Source organism: Homo sapiens, chromosome 10 (genome assembly GCF_000001405.40).
Source record: "Homo sapiens chromosome 10, GRCh38.p14 Primary Assembly".
Classification (NCBI taxonomy): Eukaryota; Metazoa; Chordata; class Mammalia; order Primates; family Hominidae; genus Homo; species Homo sapiens.
In genome coordinates, this window is record NC_000010.11 from 117,292,688 (window position 1) to 117,316,881 (window position 24,194).

The 24,194-nt window shown below is 36.4% G+C and overlaps 1 protein-coding gene across 8 annotated transcripts in view; it reads right to left on the bottom strand.

Annotated features, from left to right (window-relative positions):
- The window catches only part of PDZD8 (PDZ domain containing 8), a 98,167-nt gene that overhangs the window by 15,414 nt on the left and 58,559 nt on the right, over nucleotides 1–24,194 (bottom strand). Inside the window, exons 4-5 of one of the 8 annotated variants that reach the window (XR_007061943.1) lie at nucleotides 18,249–18,373; nucleotides 777–2,866 (exon numbers count right to left, since the gene is read on the bottom strand). The exons of 3 other annotated variants lie outside the window; for them this stretch is intronic. Coding sequence is in view for 3 of the 5 variants with exons in the window: in XM_011539265.3 (XP_011537567.1) it covers nucleotides 21,582–21,626 (45 nt within the window). In the remaining 2 variants the exon portion in view is untranslated. Of the gene's footprint in view, nucleotides 1–776; nucleotides 5,490–18,248; nucleotides 18,374–21,578; nucleotides 21,627–24,194 lie in introns of those variants that run through there. 4 more of the 8 variants (XM_047424576.1, XM_011539266.4, XR_945602.3 and 1 more) reach the window with 4 other exon arrangements.

The window sequence follows — 24,194 nt, forward strand, 5'->3', positions numbered from 1 at the left end:
TTAATTTATTTTCTATCTATAAATCATATCTTTCCCTTTGCTTTTCTTAATTCAAATGATACCTGAAGTAAACATTCCAGATGCAAAAAAAAAAAAAGATAAGGTTTTCAGTAGCAATAATTAGGGCCAATATTACATTACCTCACTTTCTCCCCAATTTTTACTGATTATTAGTAAATACTCTTAATTTCAAGTATGTACAGGGAACAGAACATAAGACACTGTTTCTTTTACAAGCTGGTTTTTGTTTCCTTTTAAGCCTGCACCCCACTGACCTAATTTTAGATTTTAATTTCAGCATTCCCTGAAATGAAAATCATCACCTTAATTAAGTTCTGACATGATTCAGAAGTTTCAGAATATAAAAACACCTCTTAATTAAAAGCCTGGTGAAACAAAGCATTTTAAAATGAGTATTTCACAAAAACATTGTTATTTTAATATAAAATTTAAGATAAGGTTCAAGACCATGCAATGATACACAACTTTTGGAACAAAACTGATTTTCCACTAGGGTAAAACTACTATTTTAAAACCAGAATAGTACAATGATATATAATATATAATTCTCTCCCATATGTATGCATCTATATCTTAAAATTATTTATGACTATTGGATATGCCTGGCACTATAAAACATATGCCAAAATAGAACTTTTAAAATGACAATGTAAAAAACAAACATAAATAGAAACCCTAAATATTTTTCCTGTACATGGTGAAGCATGCTGTGGCTTCAACATGCATTCCCTGGAATATAATATCACCTGAGAGGGTTTGGCTTTTAAGATTTTATTACAGAAAATTTCCAATATATACAAAAGTACAGAGAACAGTAAAATCAACTCAGTGGTAGACCATAAAACATGGTAACAAATTCCTCCTATCCTTATAAGCATATCTCTTTGCAATGTAACTTTACTAAAGCTGCTGCTAGAGGTATAACTTGGTTTCTTCATCCCTCTCTCAGCAACCAATATAACTAGAAAAAAATAAGTGGAGGCACAGGCAACCTCAACATCATCAACCTTGATTTAACTGACACTTATAGAACATTATACTCAACAATGGCAAAATACATTCTTTTCAAGTGTACATGGTAAGTTCACCAGGATGTAGAAGGTCATGAAACAAATATCAGTAATTTTAAAAAGACAGAACTCTTACAAAGCATGTTTTCTGACCATAGTGGAATTAAATTACAAATTAGTAACTAGGAAAACCCCAAATATCTGGAGAGCAAAACAACACACTTCTAAATAATTCATGAGTTAAAGAAAAATCACAAGAGAAATCCAAAAATATTTCAAATGAAATGATGAAAATGCAACCAATCAGAATTTGTGGGATGCAACTAAAGTAGTGTTTTAGAGGAAATTTATAGTTTTAAATGCTTATATAGGGGGGAAAATCTAAAATTAGTGACCTAAGTCCCCATTTTAAGAAATTAAACCCCAAAGTAGAAGCAAAGAAATAATAAAGAACAGAAACCAATGGAACAGATACTTAAATAATAGAGAAATCAATAAAAGCTGACTCAATAAAATGACCAATAAAACTGGTAAGCCTATAGGCTAAACTGATCAAGAAACAAGAGAGAAGACACATATTACCAAATAAATGGCTATTACCAAAAAGACAAAAAAAAAAAAAAAAAACAAAAAAACAAATATTGACAAGGATGTGGAAGAAGAGGAACTCCTATACACTGTTAGTGGGAAAGTAGATTAGTTACAGCTATTATGAAAAACAGTACAGTGGTTCCTCAAAAATTTAAAAATAGAACTAGCAATGATCCAATAATCCCACTATTGGGTATATAGTCAAAGAAAATGAAATTGGTATGATGAAGATATACTTGCACTTCCTTGATTACTGCAGTACTATTCACAAGAGCCAAGCTATGGAATCAACCTAAGAGTCCATCAATGGATAAATGGATAAAAAATGTGCGGTATACAAACACAGTGGAATACTATTCAGCCACAAAAAACAAAACCCCAGAGAAAAGTCATTTATGACAACATGGATGAACCCAGAGGACATTATGTTAAGTGAAATAAGCCAGGCAGAGAAGGACAAATACTGTATGATCTCACTCATATGTGGAATCTAAAAAACTTGATCTCATAGAAATAGACGTAGAAGAGTGGTTACCAGAGGCTGGGGAGAATAGGGGGAGTGGGGAGATCAGAAGTGGCTATAAAAAGTTACAGTTAGGAGGTATAAGTTCTGATGTTCTATTGCACAATAGGGTAACTATAGTTAATAATGTATTGTATATTCCAAAATAGCTGGAAGAGATTATTTTTAATATTTTCACCACAAAGAAATGTTTGCGGTGATGGCTATGCTAGTTATCCTGATTTGATCACTTGAGCTGGGAAGGTGGAGGTTGCATTGAGCCATGACTGCACCACTACAGTCCAGCCTGGGCAACAGAGCTAGACCCTGCCTCAAAAACAAAAAAAACCCACCACCACCAACAAAACCCAAAAAAGACTGAAAATGAACTCAGTGGTAGACCATAAAACATGGTAACAAATTCCTCCTATTCTTATAAGCATGTCTCTTTGCAATGTAACTTTACTAAAGCTGCTGTTAGAGGTAAAACTTGGTTTCTTCATCCTCTCAGCAACCAATATAACTAGAAAAAAGAAGTGGAGGCACAGGCAACCTCAACATCATCAACCTTGATTTAACTGACACTTATAGAACATTATACTCAACAATGGCAAAATACATTCTTTTAAAGTGTACATGGTTATATCAATTATATACATTAAATTCATAATTATAAGCCTTCCTTCCCAACACACAAAAAACTCCCTCCCAGTTGGGAGCTAGGTTGCTTCATCGGTGAATTCTGAAAGAAAAAATAAAACAAGGCAAACATAAAACAAGAAAACAGAAGTATAGACTAATCTCTCTAATGTTCAAAAAGATACAAAATTTAACAAAATTTTAGGAAATTCAACCCAGCAATACATTAAAAAAGATAATAATCATAACCAAGTGAATCAATCAATGTAATTTATCGTGTTAACAAAACAATGGAGAAAGCCATATTTCAATACTGCAAAAAAATTAACAAAATCCAATATTCATTAATGGTAAAAGCCCTCAGCAAACTAGAAGTATAAGAGAACTTCCTAAACCTGATTAGACATCTACAAAAATCTACAAATAACACAAAACTCAAAGATGAAAGATTTTGTTTTATAACTCAGATCAGTAACAAGGCAAGGATTTCTGCTCTTAACACTTCAACACTGTACTGGAAGTTAATGTCAGTGTAATGAAAAAAAAAAGGAAAGTGTAAAGATCGGAAGGGAGGAAAAAACTCTGTCTTTATTTGCAGATACTATGATCCTATACATAGAAAATTCCAAGAAATCTACAAAACAACTATTAGAGCTATTAAGTGAAATTAAGTCACAGACTACAAGGTCAATATTCAAAAGTCAAATGAGTGTCTCTATATCAGAAAATTATTACAATTAAAATTATAAATTATAGAATATATGGAATTATAATTAGAAAAATTAAAAAATCCCAAATCTATTACAATAGTATTAAAAATATTTAAGTTTAATGAAAGATGTGTAAGACCTATATGTTGCAAATTACAATATACTGCATTATTGTGAGAATTTTAAGGGAAATGAAAGAAGATTTAAATAAATGGAGAATACCATGGTTCATGCATAAGATTCATTATTGTTGAGATGACAGTTCTTCCCAAATTTATCTACAAATTCAACACAATCCCAGTCGAAATCCCTGCAGGCATTTAGAGAAGAAATGGACCAAGAACAGCCAAAACACTCCTTAAATATAACAGGGTTGGAGGTCTTACACTACCTGATTTCAAGGCTTGCTATATGTTAGATAAATCAAGACAGCGTGGTATTGGTCTAATGACAGACACATGAAATAATGGAATGATAGTCCACAAACAGAACAACACTTATATGGTCAATTTATGTTGGACACAGGTGCTAGATTAATTAATAGGGAAAAGGGTATACTGAGACAAGTAGATGTCTGAATAGGGAAAAAAGTGAACCTTGACTCACACACTACATAAAAATTTATGGGAAAAGGAAAATGAACCTAAACTTAAGGACTAAAACTATTAAATTTATAGATGAAAATACAGGAGAACATCTTTATGACACTGAGTTGGGCAAAGATTTCTTAAACATGACACAAACAGTATAAATCTATAAAAGAAAAAAGTTATAAAATGGACTTCATAAAATTAATGACTTTTGCTCTTTGAAAGACAGTTAAGAAAATGAAATGATAAGCCATAGATTAGGAGAAAATATTTGAAAAACATTCATCTGAGAAAGGACCTTGACCCATGAATATATAACTCTTACAACTAAATAAGAAAAAGCCCAATAAAAAGTGGGCAAAAGATTTGAACAGATACTTCACAAAAGAAGATATGCAAATGGCCAACAAGCATATTAAAAGATGTTCAATTAGCCATTAGGAAAATACAAATTCAAACCATGAGATACTACATACCTACTAGAATGACTAAATTAAAGGTGGACAATACCAACTGCTGCTGAGGATGTGAAGCAACTAAAACTCTCCTATATTGCTGATGGGAATATAAAATGGTACAGCTACTTTGGAAAGCAGTTTGGCATTTTCAAGTTAAACATACACTCACCATAGGACCCAGCAATCCTACTTTTAGATATTTACCAAAGAGAAATGAAAACATGGCCACACACAGACTTGCATGCCAATATTCACAGAGCATCATTCATAAAAGCCAGGAACTGGTCAAATGATGAGGTGAACTGTAACACAAATAGCAAGTGGTCCCTGACTTATGAGGGTTAGACTTAAGATTTTTTGACTTTACGATGTGGGAAAGCAATACAGTTTCAGTGTGCTCCTCAATTTATTATGGGGGATATATCTGGATAAGCCTATAAGTTGAAAATATTGTTAAGTAAAAAACATACTATTTTCAATTTACAACAATGGGTTTATCTGGATGTAACCCCAATGTAAGTTGAGGAACATCTGTAATGGATGAGGTGATAAAATTATTCTCTATCTTGATGAAGGTAGAGGTTACATGATTGTATACAATTACCAAAATTCACCACACTGTACCCTTAGTAAATTTTATTGTTTAAATTATACCTCAAAATAAAGCTACTAAAAGGAAAGCAAAAACAAAACCTTATATATGCCAGTTTTTGTCCTAAGATGCTTAAATATGCAGATCACTAATTCAGATAACCTTTAGTTTTCCAATTTACCTAATTTAATAAAAGACAACTTGGTATGAATTTAGATGATCCTTAAGTTAATAAGGAAGAAAAGCAATATTTATATGGTTTTTTAAATTCAACTTATGTCAATCAAATGCATACTGACTTTGACCTACCCATAATTGGAATTACTAGACTGTAGATACAGAATGAAACCAGATATAAGAAGCAAGAACAGCGTGTCTGAAAGAAAAAAAATGTAACTCAAGTTTTTACTACTATTAAAAAGAATTAGAACTTGTAATTATCAAATACTTGCATGTGGTTAAAAAATCAAATATAGAAAAATAACACAAGAGCAATAGTCCTGTCTCCTCAAGTCCCCTTTACCCCATCCCCACACCATAGCAACTGCTTTTAAACTCTTTGTTTTTAGTCGTTTTGGGGGTTACCTTTTTTCTCTAGATAATATGCATACATCATCATTTCTTAATATACCAAATTTTAGACAATGTGTTGACTTCCTACTATTACAGGCAAGGAGGCTACTCACCTTTCCCCCAAATTATAGTAATTACAGCACTGTTTTTAGTTCTTCTACATAACTTCTTTATAACTATCATCAATACAGTTATACCCCTATATTTCTTATTTATCAACTACAGACAATATATATATCTGATATCAGGACTTTATATTCTTCCCTCTTTCTCTCCTCCTTATACTTCTACCTTCTAAACTCTACTATCAAAGTTAATAACTATTATATTCCTTTTGTAACTACAGTGAAGCTACAAGGTTGATCGATTCTAAAACTAAAAATCAGCAAATAATGTTTACGATATTGTGACTACATATTGTTTACTGCAAAGCTGGGCATCATTACATTTTGTCTTGTACAGCCTTTTTCTTGAAAGTTTTTTTTCTTTAAACATATCTTTAGCAGTCAGCCCTCCATATCCACAAGGGTTCCAGGACCCCACTCGAGGATACCAAAATCGGTATATGCTCAGATACATACGCAATGAGGCATATAATGAGGCCTTATGCAAAATGAGGCAGTACAATCAGCCCTCCATATCCATCACAGTCCTCACAGTCCTAATCCACAGCTGGGTTTCAGTCCGTAGTTGGCTGAATCCCAAGATGTAAATCTGGGTGCTTCCTTATTCCAAAAGATAACCTACAATTAAGGAATTAACATTAACATCTATAGACGTTTTCACTCAAAATCTTTATAAATGGTGAAAGTTTGCCACCATCTACAAATTTAATAGTTTTAGTTCTCTTTCAGAAAACAAAGAAAATCTGATCCCTCACAGTCCACGGTTGGGTTTCAATCCACAGTTGATTGAATCTGGTAATGATCTTTTTGCAAAGAATTTCCCAGGTATTCTTTGAACTTCTTGTATTTGGATGCCTAAATCTCTAGCAAGGCCAGGGAAGTTTTCCTCAATTATTCCCTCAAATCAGTTTTCCAGACTTTTAGATTTCTCTTCTTCCTCAGGAACACCAGTTATTTGTAGGTTTTTCCATTCAACATAATCCCAAATTTCTTAGAAGCTTTGTTTATTTTGTTTTATTCTTTTTTCTTTGTCTCTTTCTGATTGGATTAATTCAAAAGCCTTGTCTTCCAGCTCTGAAGTTCTTTCTTCTACTTATTGTAGTCTGTTGTTGAAACTTTCCACTGCATTTTGTATTTATCTAAGTGTGTCTTTCATTTCCAGAAATTGTGGTTGCTTTTTCTTTATGATATCTATTTCTCTGGAGAATTTTTCATCCATATCCTATTTTTTTTCTAATTTCTTTTAGTTGATTTTCACCTTTCTTTGGTATTCCTTGAATAGCTTAATAATCAACCCCCTGAATTCTTTATCTGGAATTCAGAGATTTCTTCTTGGTTTGGATCCATTGCTGGTGTGATCTTTTGGGGGTTTTATAGAACCTTGAGGAAGATATTTCTTCCTCAGTGCAGGAATCCTGTTTTATTCAATTACTATTGCACTTGTGTGCAGTGATCTTGTTGCCTACATTTTTAAAACAACAGAACCACCACTTCTTTCAGCTATTACACGGGTTTTTGTAGACTGGCCAGGGAACCTATATGCTAGCACAGGTTATATGAGAAACCCCCCCCATGTCAAATCAACACCTTTACCCTCTCCTCCTCCAGGTCTCTTTTCAGTACCAGGCCAGTTCTCTAATTTCACCTGTTTTCTCACAGGTTAAAAAAACTGGGCCTGCTATTCCCTCATTTTAAAAAGCTGCCACCACTTAGGGTTTGTTCTGGCTTCCTAATTCCTATTATTCCAGAAAAATGCAATATTTTTGTTTCGTGGTCCTCTGGCTGGATAAACATCCTAAATAAGCAGGAGTAGAATTAGACTAATAAGTACAGAGACTCTTTAAAAATTTGCTTATATAAATGGAAGTTTTGGAAAACATGTCTGAAAGTAGAAATATTTGTTAATGCCAAATACTCTGAATATTCTCAGATTATTCAAATTTTAAAATGGTCTTCAAAAACCATTCTATAATGTAGCATCCAAACATTTCTGTCACAAAGCCTCTTAAGTTTATAAAATTTAGTCCTTCTGCTCATGAGAATATAAAAAAGCTCCTTTGGTTGAAGGAACCAAAACTCTACATGCTACAGATCTTCCAAAGGCGATTGCTATGAACTAAATATATGTGTTCCCCCATCCCCAACCTTCTACCAATTTATATGTTGAAATCCCAACCCCCTAACATGATTGTATTAGGAGATGGGGTCTTTGGGAGATGATTAGGTCATGAGGGTGGAGCCCTCTTTTATTAGTACCCTTATAAAAGAAGCCTGAGAGAACACCCTTATCCCTTCTGCCATGTGAGGACATAGGGAAAAGACAGCCAGCTATGAATCAAGAAGCCAGCAGACAGTGAATCTGCTGGTGCCCTGATCTTGGACTTCCCAGCCTCTCAAACTGTGAGGAATTCATTTCTGTTGCTTACGAGCCACTCAGTTTGTTATTTTTGTTATAGCAGTCCAAATGGACTAAGGCAGCAACTAAAAATCATCATTTTTTTCTTTTTTTTGAGACAGTCTTGCTCTGTTGTCTAGGCTAGAGTGCAGTGGCATGATCTTGGCTCACTGCAACCTCTGCCTCCCAGGTTCAAATAATTCTCTTACCTCAGCCATCAGAGTAGCTGGGATTACAGGTGCGTGCCACCACACCTGGCTAATTTTTATTTTTAGTAGAGACAGGGTTTCACCATGTTGGCCAGGCTGGTCTTGAACTGGCCTCAAGTAATTAGCCCACCTCAGCCTCCCAAAGTGCTGGGATTACAGGTATGAGCCACTGCGCCTGGCCAAAAAATCATCATTTTTGAGGGACCAGTATACAAATCACCTTTGTTTGGCTTGCTTTTGGCACTTGGCAATTGAATTCTGAATATCAGGAACTTGGGCCATTATGATTAAAGTATAAGATAATTATTTCCAAATTTTCAGTTACAATTGAGAGGTCAAGATTTCTAAAACTAAAACAACTTTTTATATTAAATAAGTTACTGAGCTGTTTGCAAGGTGAACTTCTATGTACAACATACTTGGCAGAAAATATGTTAGAAATGTAACTTTGGTTACATTTTCTGAATGAGCAACTCTGGCTATTTCGGTAAATGCCAGATGTCAGATCAATTTGTTTATGGTTAAAGGATACAATTTACTGCCAAGTGAGGGACTACCAGCTTACTGTCCATCCCAATTAGAGGCAGCAAGAAGGCTGTTGAAGATCTAGGGCTAAATTTCCTATTTTACCATCCATCACCTTTAAAAATCACAACCATAATTGACGATCCCAACTAACTCCATTAGCATTAGGCTAAACACAAAGAGATACACATTTGTTCTTGTTCATTTTTGTTCTCTCCTCCCTCCCTTTTTCCTCTAATTCCCTCTTCTCTCCCTCCCCCGGACAGCCCCCACAAACACCCTTGAGTGTAAGGTAACTCAAGTAACATGTGGTTCAGTTTAGAAGTGACTAAGTTAGAACTAGACTACTATTACTCAATTTCTGTTTATAAAGCATATTTCAGTAAATTATAATTCTGAAAAGTTAATAAAACAATTTCTAGGTTCTAGAACAAAACAAAGAAAACACATGAAAAGAAACAAAATACTGAGCTTCTGAAGGGTCCTTCTGGTATCAATCTAATTTACTTCTAAGCCAGGCAGTTTTAACAGCACAAAAGATATAAACTGAAATACTTCATGGGACCCTCAACTACTTGGAAACAATAGACCTTGTTCCAAGGAACCCACTATATTCTCAATCATTTTCCATTTAGTTCCATCACTTTAATAGAAAAACAAAGGAGATACCACATTTACTAGGTGTCATCTTTGAAACTGTCTTACCAGCAAAGAGGATTCACAATTTGGATGCACACAATCACACCATCTTTTTCAAAGTAAGTATAACTCTTTGAAACAGACATATGGCAAATGTCTTGTTTTTATCACTTGGCATAAAAATTACTATCAACTCCCACAGAACTTTTCAAAAGACCTGTCACTATATTTAAACAATTCATAAAGATATAAAATCAGAAAAGTTCTTAAACTCATAAGCCAGATAAATGGAAAAGAATCTCTCAACTAAGGAGAAATGCTGTATCTCAATTATGACAAAAATTATATATGCAGTTGTGCCTTGGTATCTGATATGGTTTGGCTGTGTCCCCACCCAAATCTCAACTTGAATTGTATCTCCCAGAATTCACATATGTTGTGGGAGGGACCCAGGGGGGCGTAATTGAATCAAGAGGGCCAGTCTTTCCTGTGCTATTCTCGTGATAGTGAATTAAGTCTCATGAGATCTGATGGGTTTATCAGGGGTTTCCGCTTTTGCTTCTTCCTCATTTTTCTCTTGCTGCCTCCATGTAAGAAGTGCCTTTTGCCTCCTGGCATGATTCTGAGGCCTCCCCAGCCATGTGGAACTGTTAAGTCCCATTAAACCTCTTTCTTTTGTAAAATGCCCAGTCTCAGGTATGCCTTTATCAGAAGCATGAAAATGGACTAATACAGTAAATTGGTACCATTAGAGTGGGGCGGTGCTGAAAAGATACCTGAAAATGTGGAAGCGACTTTGGAACTGGGTAAAAGGCAGAGAGGTTGGAACAGTTTGGAAGGCTCAGAAGAAAAGAAAATGTGGGAAAGTTTGGAACTTCCTAGAAACTTGTCGAATGGCTTTGCCCAAAACACTGACAGCGACATGGACAATAAGGTCCAGGCTGAGGTGGTCTCAGATGGAGATGAGGAACTTGTTGGGAACTGGAGTAAAGGTGACTCTTGTTATATTTTAGCAAAGAGACTGGCAGCATTTTACCCCTGCCCTAGAGATTTGTGGAATTTTGAACTTGAGAAAGATGATTTAGGGTATCTGGCAGAAGAAATTTCTAAGAAGAAAAGCATTCAACAGGTGACTTGGGTGCTGTTAAAGACATTTGGTTTTATAAGGGAAACAGAGCATAAAAGTTTGGAAAATTTGGAGCCTGACTATGCGATAGAAAAGAAAAATCCATTTTGTGGGGAGAAATTCAAGCCGGCTGCAGAAATTTGCATAAGTAGCAAGGAGCCTAATGTTAAATCCCAAGACCATGGGGAAAATGTCTCCAGGCCATATAGAGACCTTCAAGGCAGCCCCTCCCATCACAGGCCCAGAGGCCCAGGAGGAAAAAGTGGTTTCATGGGCTGGGCCCAGGGTCCCTGTGCTGTGTTCAGCCTAGGGACTTAGTGCCCTGTTGTCCTAGCCACTCCAGCTGTGGCTGAAAGAGGCCAACGTATAGCTTGGGCTGTGGCTTTAGAGGGTGGAAGCCCCCAAGCCTTATTCAGCCTGTGGGTGCACAGAAGAATTGAGGTTTGGGAACCTCTGCCTAGATTTCAGAAGATGTATGGAAATGCCTGGATGCCCAGGCAAAAGTTTACTGCAGGCTTGGGGCCCTCATGGAGAACCTCTGCTAGGGCAGTGTCAAAGGGAAATGTGGGGTCAGAGCCCCCCACACAGAGTCTCTACCAGGGCACTGCCTAGTGGAGCTGTGAGAAGAGGGCCACCATCCTCCAGAACCCAGAATGGAAGATCCACCAACAGCTTGTACCATAAGCCTGGAAAAGCCTCAGACACTCGATGCCAGCCCATGAAAACAGCTGTGAGGGAGATTGTACCCTGTAAAGCCACAGAGGTGGAGCTGTCTAAGACCATGGGAACCCACTTCTTGCATCAGCGTGACCTGGATGTGAGACCTGGGGTCAAAGGAGATCATTTTGGAGCTTTAAAATTTGACTGCCCTTCTGGATTTCGGACTTGTATGGGCCCTGTAACCCTTTGTTTTGGCCAATTTCTCTTATTTGGAATGGCTGTATTTACCCAATACCTGTACCCCCATCGTATCTAGGAAGTAACTAGCTTGCTTTTGATTTTACAGGCTCATAGGCGGAAGGGACTTGCCTTGTCTCAGATGAGACTTTGGACTGTGGGCTTTTGGGTTAATGCTGAAATGAGTTAAGACTTTTTGGGGACTACTGGGAAGGCATGACTGGTTTTGAAATGTGAAGACATGAGATTTGGAGGGGCCAGGGGGGAATGATATGGTTTGGCTGTGCCTCCACCCAATTCTCATCTTGAATTGTATCTCCAAGAATTCCCATGTGTTGTGGGAGGGACCCAAGGGGAGGTAATTGAATCATGGGGGCCGGTCTTTCCCATGCTATTCTCATGATAGCAAATAGTCTCAAGAGATCTGATGGGTTTATCAGGGGGTTTCTGCTTTTGCTTCTTCCTCATTTTTCTCTTGCTGCTGCCATGTAAGAAGTGTCTTTTGCCTTGAGATGATTCTGAGGCCTCCCCAGCCATGTGGAATTGCAAGTCCAAATAAGCCTCTTTTTGTTCCCAGTTTCAGGTATGTCTTTATCAGCAGCGTGAAAACAGACTAATACAGTATCTGTAGAAAACTGATTCTAGGACCCCCATGGACACTGGGTCTGCTGATGCTCAAATCTTACAGTCAGCCCTGTGGAACTTTTAGATACAAAAAGTCATCCATGTCTGTGGGTTCTATATCCGACAAATACCATATTTTTCATCAGCTGTTGATAGAATACAAAGATGCAGAGCCCTCAGATATATGGCAGCAACTGTATAATAAAAAAGTATTCTTGGCTGGGCATGGTGGCTGATGCCTATAATCCCAGCACTTTGGGAGGCTGAGGTGGGCAGATCACCTGAGGTCAGAAGTTCGAAACCAGCCTGGCCAATATGCTAAAACCCCATCTCTACTAAAAATACGAAACTTAGCCAGCATGGTAGTGCGTGCCAGTAATCCCACCTACTTGGGAGGCTGAGGCACGAGAATTGCTTGAATCCGGGAGGCAAGAGGTTGCAGTGAGCAGAGATTGCACCACTGCACTCCAGCCTGGGCAACAGAGCAAGACTCTGTCTCAAAAACAAACAAACAAACAAACAAAATACACACACACACACACATATATACACACACATACACACACACACACACACACACACACACACACACACACACACACATATATGGAGAGAGAGAGAGATATTCTTATAGGGGTGCATTTGAATAGTACAAGGAATGAATCCTAAATTATCTCACATGTTGAGGATCCCAAATCTGGAAATCTGAAATCTGAAATGCTCCAATGAGCATTTCCTTTAAGTGTCATGTCGGTGATACGAAGTTTCAGATTTCAGAGCATTTCAGATTTTTGGATTTGGAATGCTCAACTTGTATAACGCCTAAATTTTCAGAAATTAACATTTAATGGATAGCTAAGAAGCTGCTGAAGTCAGCCTCTCCTAAGAACTAGGGCAGATTTAAAATTAGTTTTTGAAGAAAATCTTCCATGTCATCTAGCATGGCTTTGTTCTAAGAGTTGGGTTTGAGTTTTGGCTCTAACATTTACTAGTTTTGTCACCTTAGACAAGTGATTTAGCCCCTGTGAGTCTTAACCATAAAACGGTGACATCTGATATCTACCACACTGGGTTGTTGTCAACATTAAATGAAACTATTGGCATAAACATCTGGCGCAATCTAGGTACAGGTACGTCTGTTATCTCCCCTCAAGAAGATTTCTTTCTGGATGAAAATACAAGTGACCCCCCTCAATCTTCAAAATAGAATGCCAGCTTGGCCATTTGATAACTTGGTTTCTAAAGCAACTGGATGGTAAATCGGGAATGTATCCACTGGTCACCTCATCTAAGAGACAACAAAGATCTAGAAGTATAATATCAAAAAGTAAACTCTATTATACAAATATAACCAATTTAAGAGATCTAAGGAATAAAAATGATCCTCTGCTCAGGTTCAAAAGGCTGTTAGGAAAATAATTACATCCTAATGATTACCTTGCAATATACTTAAGGTTTCTTCTTTTCTCTCTCTTTTACAATGATTGATGTTGGAAATAAATTTAAATTTTATACTACCATTCCAGTAAAATAAAAATTTCAGTAAAATATGCAAAGGCCGAGGTTGTCAGGTGAACAACAGAGTAGAACACTCTTGCCCTTTTTAATTCCTTTGTTAAATAGAAACAGTTCTTATTCTGAATCACCAGGTCAGGCCTCAACTTCATATAGTATCACTCTACTTCTGCAGATGACTTACATCTTACTAAGGAAGTATGAGAGCCTTAGGTACAGATAGGTTTTGTTTTTTTTTTTATAAATAAGGTTTTTTTTTAAAAAATTACTTTTTTATCTTGAAATAATTTCAACCTTACAGAAAGGCTCCAAAACTAGTAAAGAATTCCCATTTATCCTAAACCCAGATTTTCCAATTATTAACATTTTGCCACATTTGTTTCACTCTGCATATTATTTTTCTGAACTATTTGAAAATAAGTTATACATATGATGTCATTAACTTCTAAATATTTAAGCATGTATTACCTAACAAGGACATTCTCTCACATAACCACAGTATAACTGCCAGAGTTAGAAAGCTAACATTGGGATAATACTATTATCTAATCTACAGACCTTATTCCAGCTGAAATATAATTTGAAATATGAATCAACAGCCTTTTATTTTTGCATAATCTTTGACCAAGGGATTACTTACATCAGTAGTAAACTACTGCCTGTTGGCTACTTATGCTTTAAGAACACACAAGCATATTCGTATGTGAGCAATGGGTGTATGTGTATGTTTATAAAGTTTTTTCTAAAAAGTTAACAGTGATCTCTCTGGGTAGTGGAATTATGGTTGACTTTTGTAGTCTTCTTTATAGGTTTCTAATTTTTTTTAAATGGGGGAAAATTGCCCATACCAATTTCTAAACATATATAACTTATCTTACACAGGTTGATTTTGTTAAAATATGCAAGTTTCTGCAAACAAATGAGTGTATCATCACAAAAATTAAAAATCTGCTTCATGATACTTCCTTTTGCTTAATGGCCTCCTACTTAAACTTCTGACAACACTCTCAGTATTGATCAACTTACAAAAGATAATTCACAATCATTCATTTAGGAAAAAAGTCATCTGTCCATACTCTAAGAATTACTAGATAACCTTTAAAAAATATAATGAATTATCCAGAAGTAGTCTTATTTACAGTAGTTAATAAAACATCCTTATCTCTTCCAGCATAGGGCATATTGTTTATACACAAACAATTTTCAAATATAACCACCTATTTCTCTAGTACAATCCAATATCAATGTAAACCAACATGCTTACAAATGGGAAACACGGCTGTTCCCAAATCGACTTTAAACTCTACTCATGTTCAATATTTAAGTTGAGAAATACACAATAACTAATGAAAATACTACAAAGACGGGTTTAATAAGACATACGAATTAAGTGTTGCTGTTTCTACCCCTTTCCACTTACCTGTTTGAAGGCAAAAACAAAAATTTTAACTAGTCTTACTTTTAGCTTATTCATTTTAAAGTACCTTCAATTAGTATATTATAGAACTTCACATTTACAGCAAAATGCAAATGGGTGAAACTAGAGATGTCAAATAGTGAAGTATCATGAACTACTTCCTAAATGCTTTAAAACTTTCTGTTATTAATTACAACTATCTGGAAGCACTAACATCCATGCTATGATATTAATATTCTTTATTCCTAAAAAGTTCTTTATTTCTTATCTTAAATATTCCTGATGAAATATAAATGCTTGTCCATATTTTATCCTCAGTTGACATGGGCAGCAGCTACTGATCTCCATCCTCCTTATAACAGCTCTTAATAAGCTTGCTGATATTCTCAAGTCATTATTTGAGAACACAATCTTAAACAACAACAACAATACCACTATCTCATGATTGAGGAGGATACTCTCCCTGCCCTCCTCACATTGTTACAGGAAGGATTTAAAAGGGTCTTATAAACTTGTACAAGAAAAAATAAACAAATAAAATAAAAGGGAGTGAGTGTAGGGGATTTATGAGGACACACAAAATATATGCACTAAAACCATAGGAACAAAAGAGGTCAATCAGGTTAAGTTAAATAATAATAGATATTATGTGCCAGGTATTATGCTAAGGGTTTTACATACATTTAACCCTTATATCCTGTAAGGCAGTTACTATTACCTCTACTGTAGAGATTATGAAATACCTTGCTCATAGTCATAGAGCGAGAGTGGAAAAAGCTAGATCTGAACCCAGGCCTATAGGACACCATTTGTGGAAATGATATAGTACTAGTTAAGAACATCAGCTGTGGAGTCACACTGCCTGGGTTTGCAGACTGTTTTTACTGCCAGCTAGCTGGGTGATTTGGATAAATTACTTCTGTCTTTACATCTCAATTTCCTCATATATAAAACAGAGATAATAATAGTGCCTATTATTATGGTATTGTTAAATGAGGATTAAATGGTTAATGCATGTAAAATCTTAAAACTATGACTGGCACAGAAAAATTGCAGAAACTTGTAATTGCTGACTACCACTGGACTGAATATATGTGGACAGGGAGTTGAATGCTACTGCCAGATCTCCCAAAACATCTCTCTAATACTTTCCTAAAGTGTGTGTTTATGTCCTAGTTCTGCATCCGTGTATGGCTCAGAAAATCAGCTATTTGGCTAAGTGGATTTTTATAGGAAGGTGCTACTGTGCCTTGAAAAGGATGTTTTAACTAGTGAGAATATATGGACTGTGTGAATCAGTTTTAGTTGAATCTCAGTAAACTGCAGGATTCTGAGAAACAGAACCTAAAAATAATGTTTAAGTTTTATGACTGTTGCCTCCTTTAACTTGCTCTTAAAAAAATTTAGATTCTTACTACAATACTGTGAAACTACTTTGCTTTTCTTTACCCTATATGAAAAAAAGAGAGCTTAAAAACATAGCATAAACCTCAAAGCATTCAACTTATTAGTTAAGATACTAAAAGTTGAAATAACAGCAGTAAAAATTAAAAAAAAAAAAAACATAGTAGATCAAAGCACCACATGAAAAACATTCCATCTCTAGCCTGGCCTTTGATAGTCACTATACCTCAAACAGCTTGCACAGAATGAGATCCTCTTTCTCCTTTTCCTTCTCCCTCCTCATAGCTCATCTTTCTGGCTTCCTTGCTCACTCCAAAAACCCTCCATTCCCAGTGGTATTCAAGCCACACAGACTCTATTTTCCATTTCCATTGCCACCTTTCTAGTTCAGACTTTCATTACCCCTCACCTCTACTTTTTCAGGTCTTTACCCTATCAAATCATCCTTGATTTTATCCATTGCTGCCAGGTTCAATAAACATTATTGACTAACTACTATGTGCTAAATACTGTGCTGGACATTTTAATATATTTAATCTCAATTAACCCTCATACAACCATAAGAAGCATCAGTCCCATTTTATAGAATAAAGTACTTGTGGATGAAACGGGTTTGGGGACTCTTGACTAAGGTCATGCTGGAAAAAGTGGCCTAGCTGAGACTCAAATCCAGCTCTCAATCTGCCTGAAGAAAGATTCTGATGTCACTTTCATTCTAAAAGCCTCCAGAGGTCCAACAGTCTTGGAGAGTAACAGGCAAACTTCTTAGTGTGGTATTTAAAGTCCTCTATAAGGTGGTCCGACCTTTTTATTCTTGTTTTGCATAACTTCCTATGCTATCATATTCTTTAGCCAACTTGAACAACTCACTCTATCTCAAAGATACTCAAATAGTCTCACTCTTAACTGGGGATTTTGTTATGTCCTCATCTTGAACTGGCCTCTCTGCCATCTCAAAATCCTATACATACTATGAGGTTTGGTTCAAATGTCACCGCCTTAATATATTCTTTTCTTGTTTTCCCAAAAGAATGTTACTTCTCCCTCATTGGAACCTCACAGTACTACTGATACTCACAGTACTGTTGCTCTGATTTCCCTACTACGAATTTTCCTTGAAGGGAAAGATGATACAATGCCTTACACCTCATACTCAGTTTCCTGTTCTCATACTCATAGTGCCTTCCACTGATTTGATCTGGAGAGTTTATGTTTGTATATTTTAACATAACTTCCTATTCTTTCCCCAGCATCTTAGAATCATAGTAAACATACTTAGAAAACCTAAGACAGAGAACTACATCCCTCATTTTTAATCAAGATGAACTTTAAGAGAAGAAATGTTCCATAGGATTTACTATTAAAGCTCAAAGGCATTTAAAGAAGCCAAACTATAGAATGTTATATATGGTTAAAATTTCATTGAGTCCCTACTGTATTCACAAGTATTATCAAATTGAACTAAACCTGAGTTTTCATAAAAACTGACATTTTCAAAAAGGCTTTATTTGCTTTAATCTTTCTCTTCCTTTTGATAAGATTAAGACTGTAAATGGCAAATGGTTAAATAGGAGCACCAAAATGCTATCTGCAAGGAATCTGGCCTTAAAAAAACACACCAAAATGCCAACTCTGAGGCATCTGGCCTAACGTATTTGTAAGTTTGTCTGTCTCAAATATTCTTACTTGAAATCACAGTTCTTTAGGAAGCTCTTTTATACTCTTTGTATGTACATTCAACAATACATGACAGAGGTGGGCTTGTAGGTGCATTCAATTTCATTCAGCAAGACTTCTAAAACTCTCCAAAACTGAAAGGGAAGTAAGGCAAGTAAAATTTTAGATTATACCTAGTCATTTTATTTAGGTTACATTAAACTATACACATAGAGTAAGAAATGTTTTTGATGTGTTTAGTAATGCCAGAAATAAAATACTATAATGCACCACATCTGTAAACTAAAATCCTCACTCTAAAAATCAGGCTTTTCACAAAATTAATATTGAGTAGTATATCTCTCATTTTGTGGACTTCCTTACCCTAAACATTTTTATTTGGTTAAAACATACATCAGGAATAGCCTTGAAGATGGAAAGGAAACAGAAGTGTGACTAAAAGTCACGCTAAAACTTTGAAGGTCTGGAAGAAGAAGGGTTGAGGTTGTATGAAGGCTCATGGTCAGACAGCCAGCCTTAGTCATACCGAAAACATTTACTGAATACCCACTGAATGCCACGTGCTATGAGCAAAACAATCATGGTACCTGCTGATACGGAAGATATTGCTGGAGACAATACTGATCACATTATCATAGAAACATAAATGCGAAATCCCAACTGTGATAAGCATTACCAAGGAGTTTCATGATAGTTAGGAAAGGTTTCCAGAGGAAATGATGATTACTGTTTTATTAATAGGCTCTAAGAAAACAGAAAACTAAGTATTTAATATGGAAGCCCTTTAAAACAGAGGATGGCTACTTGGTGACAGAAGAACTGAGTACCAAACAGGAGACAGTGAGGACACTCAGATATGAGTAACAGTTCTAAGAAGTTACTATCAACCTTTGGCTGGAAGGAAGGGCAGGGGGAGGAAGAGGTGGTATTAGTAGAGGCCAGAGGCTACAGTATCAAGCAGAAGCTGGAAATATGGTGGGCCTGTCCTGTCAGAAGCATGGTGCCACGAAGGAGAAAGAATGGCTGTCAGACACATTGTCCAATGCAGAGGGGGGAAGAGGAAGAAAACCCTGGCTTTCCCAGTTCACTCCTATTTCCCATCAGTGCTTTACATTGGTCAAACCTAGCTGAAATACAGCCTGCAAAGGTCAGCCCTCTCATGGCATACAGCAGGGAAGGGCCCAAGAATGTATCCGAGGGCAAACAAGCTAAGGTCTAACACAAGCAGAGATCGGATGAATGGGTTAACCAAGGTTTGTATGGGGAGAAATGAGTTGGGGGTAGAGTGCACATGTACCATGGCTGTGTAGAGGACAGAGAGTATGGCAAGTGTGGAGGAGTGAAAGCATGGCTAAACTGGAGAATGGCAGGGGAGAAAGGAGGGCTGAGAAATAAATAGGGACCAGGCCTGCGAGGGCTGGAATTTGTCATCCTACAATACGCAATCAGAAACCACTGAGGCAGGCAACTGATAAAATCAGATTTTTATCTCAAAAGTTCATTGATCCTCCCCTTTCCTCCCAGGACATTCACTAAACTGCAACAAGCCAGAAACTCTACTAGGTGCAGGATACATAGCGTAAAAAAAATACAGCATGTTTGTGTCTCTGTGAAGTCTACCAGCAAGTGTCTAGCATGCTGGATTATCGAAGACCTTTTAAGTATTCTTTTAGCGTGAATCATCTGATTATCATCAGGAACATGAGATTTATCTTCATTGCTCTACAGATTTAGTTCCAGTAAGGTTGCTGACTATCCTTATTGTTTACTTTTTGTATTTATATGCTTCCATTAGTCATTCACCCACCTTTGTCTTTTCAGCTGAAGAACACTAATTTTTTTCCCATCCATTTATCTTTATATGGCTATCTCATTTCCGTGTTAATTTTAATTATTTGTCCTCGCCCTATCCAGTTCTGTTTTAAATTCCTTGTATTATAGCAACCATAAATGCACAAATAATTTATTCCCAGAGAATTTCATAGTTTTAAAATAAGGGTATAAAAAGATTTCATTTTGTGACATCTTTCATGAAAAGTCAGATTTCTTGTTTTGGAAGCACAGTGACATACTGACTACTTCTTTAAGAATCCTAGATCTCATATTTTAAAGTGTAGTTTGGATTTATTTCTTACATACTTGTCCTGAGAGTTCTTCCTTCATATTCTACTTCTTAACCTGGCACTTCTGAGCTGAGTGCCATGTGTAAATCTGAAGATTATACTGTACATTCCTTCTTCTAGATCTGTGCTGTCCAATATGGTACCCACTAGTCACATGCTTCTGAGCCCTTGGAATGTAGCTGAAATTCAACCTATGCTGCAATTGTAAAATATATACCAGATTTCAAAGACTTTGTATAAGAAAAGAATGTAAAATATCTCATTGATTTTTATGTTGATTACATGTCAAAATGACCAGGTTTGGGATATATGGGTCAAATAAAACATTACTAAAATTAATTTCTCCTGCTTGTTTTTTACAGTGTCCACTAGAAAATCTAAAATTAAGTAAGTGCCACATATTATATTTCTATTAGTGCTGTTTTAAATCATTTATGAAAAATGATCAAAGTCTCGGGCTCAATCATTCAGGACACTATACCTGATCATCCTTACCCTGTTTCCCACATCTCTAAGCCAGATCTAATTGTGACAAAATATTCTCCTAGGAATTAGATGTTGGGAAACTTTGGTATGGATCTTCATCAAAAGCTTTCTGAAAGTTGAAAATGCATTTACTGTTTTCATTTCTTCTATATGCTCATTTAGCATCTTTGTATCAGGAATGATTTCCCTAAATACTGTTTTTTTCTCCCAACTGATTACTTTTCCTTTACACTAAGTCTTTCCTGAATTCAACTGCCCTAATCATTACTCTGGAAGTAAACAAAGACTCACTGGGCTCTATAATAAGCCAGACTGTCTCTGAATCAGGCTTAATCTTAGGCAAGTAAACATGGCTGATCGTATTTTGAAGGCCCTTGTATTCAAATCCCATCTCCCCATACTTTCAGATCTCTCCTTAACTCTGTTCTAAAATGATCCCATTATCATCACTACTAATTATTTGAATACCATTCACAGTCCAGTTTTTGTTAGAGGTAGTGGGATTTAATCAAACAAGTAGAGATCTTATAGTCAGAAGACTTTGGCTCTTTGTATATGGGAAGAGTATTTCATAGATTCTAAAGTGCTACATATGTTAGACATTTTGTTTGCATATCTTGTTTCTTACCCTGGCAGTAGTTCTTAGAATATAGGTATCATCTCCTCAAATATCTCTTTAATTGTATGGGCATGTTTAAAAATTGATAGGAGGCTGGTATCAATGATTTACCTTTTAGAATCGGATTACACTTTGATGAGAAAACAATAGCTTTCTTTTCTAAAAAGAAGAAAAAATACCACTCAATTCAAACAGAAAGAAAAAGTCCAAAATCTAGGAGGTGAATTCTTCAGGCTTCACAATTTTAAATATGGCTGACCCTATCTAAAGCCCTTCTTATAACGGTTGCCAGTTAATACCATGTAACACTCAGAAAGAATATACTGTTCTGATTAAGAACTCCAATATATCACTTACAGCTTCTCCCCAACTGTTAGCTGAATGCTTTTCAGGGATGCATCACTTCTTGCTTTTTAGGTAGATCTGAAGTAGCATGTCATCTCCTAATGCCTTTAACCACAGTTCCCTCTGGTACCTGCATACTGGGCTACAAAAGGTATGAAGTACTTCTACTCTTTTACTTATACTGAACAAATGATTGTTCTCTCTTCTGCCCATGTACTTTAAACAAGGGCAAAAGCTTCTTTTATAATTTCCTCTCCATTTCAAAAGAGGAAAAAATTCATATTCATCTTTCCTTTCTGATAGTGACATATTTATATACCAATATTGTTTGGATTTTCAACCTCGTGTCTCTAATTGCAAAGGGAAATACTTGGTCTCTTATGAAAGGCAATTGCTGTCAAGTACCTGAATGCAGAGCGTGGTAGGTTGAAGGAAGATGGAGAGTAGGGTTAGCATCAGAAAATGTACATAAACGCTTGTTTCTAAAAATCAGAACTCCTTACATCCTTTTATTCAGAATGAAAGAATAGGTGGGTGTTTGTACTAGCCCCTACTGCCTTTTCCTCTACCCTAGAATTCCCAGATTCAGAGGTTCCAGAGCCCATTTTCATGGTACCTTCTCTTCCCCAGTGGCCTCAAACATTCCAAATTGGAAGGATAGAGTTGGAATAGAACAACCTATTTGAAGAATCAAGTGAGTCAGTGTGGATAAATGATGAAGAGAAGATACAGAAGGCACAGGCAGACTAGCTAAAATAGGAAGAGAGAGGGAAAGAGAACAAAACTTTTATTAATAATCTATTTGGTGTCTGAGGCCAGGCGCGGTGGCTCATGCCCACAATTCAAGCACTTTGTGGGGCCGAGGTGGGTGGATCACCTGAGACCAGGAGTTCGAGACCAGCCTGGCCAACATGGTGAAACCCTGTCTCTACTAAAGATACAACAATTAGCTGGGTGCAGTGGTGCACGCCTGTAGTCCCAGCTACTCAGGAGGCTGAGGCAGGAGAACTGATCCAGGAGGTGGAGGTTGCAGTGAGCTGAGACTGCGCCACTGCACTCCAGTCTGGGCGACAGAGCTAGACTCTCTCAAAAAAAAAAAAAAAAAAAAAAAAACAATAATCTATTTTGTGTCTGGAACTAGGGGTAAAGCAACTGGGTGGTCAGTGGCAAGAAAACTCCAATTCTGGGAGGGTAAAACTTAGGATCTCTCTCTTTCAAACAATGTGTGCTACTGTGACATTTATGTGTTCTGTGGCGCTAACCAGGCACATAATGATTCACATGTGCTTTAATATATGTCAGATTAATTTATTGTGAATTTTATTTGTAAGCACTATACATTCCACAGATATTTATAGATATTTTTATAGTTTATTACTAAAATATCATGGCCTGAAACTTTTTAAAATCTGAAAACTCCTTAAATTTCTTTCTTGGTGAAAGTTAAGCAAAGTATGATCACCAAACCGGAATACTGCAATGGACCCGAAATAAATCACAAATTGCACTGTCTCTTTCTGGTGTGGTAAAGTAATTTTTAGTATTTACTCTGTCATCTCTTGTAAGATGATCCCCTAATTTTTGTTTAAGCCTAATATCTAATTTACTTATACCTCAGCTATCTTGGCTTATAGGATTCTCATGAGGAATCTTCATTATTTTCAAAGAACAAACACAACCACAAGGTACCTCATTTATCCTATGAGCTCTTTTATTGTATAAATGAGCTAAGCAGGGCACTGGTCTGAGTGAGTTTGCTCCAAACTTTTCTTGGATTTCTAATAAGGTATTTCTAAAATAGGCTTTATGTAGGGTATTTGCTAAATTATTCTTTGCAATTTCTCCCTTATGTCCCAATTTATAAAAAATTCCCTTAAAAATAAAAAGTCATGGCCAGGTGTGACAGCTAGTCCCTTTAATCCCAGCACTTTGGGAGGCTAAGGTGGGAGGACTGCTTGAGGACAGGAGTTCAAGACCAGCCTGGCTAAGATAGAAAGACCCTGTCTCTACCAAAAAAATAAAAATTAAAAATAAATAGATGAGTGTAGTGGTGCACACCTGTAGTCCCAGCTACTCGGGAGGTGGAAGCTGAGGTGGGAGGGTTAACTTGATCCCAGGAGTTGGAGGCTGTAGTAAGCCATGATTGTGCCACTGCACTCTAGCCTGGGTGACAGAGCGAGACCCTGTCTCTAAAAAAATAAAAAATGAAAAGGTCATCAAATAGATTTGTTTTCTTGTGGACTGGCTACATAAAAGCCATTCATAACTCCGTTTCTCCCTTGCCTTCTACTTCTACAAAGGCAGAAAAATTAAAATGGCTTCTCATACTGTACTTTCTTGCTGCTGAGGAGGCCATAGGACTCACTTCTGGCCAATGAGATA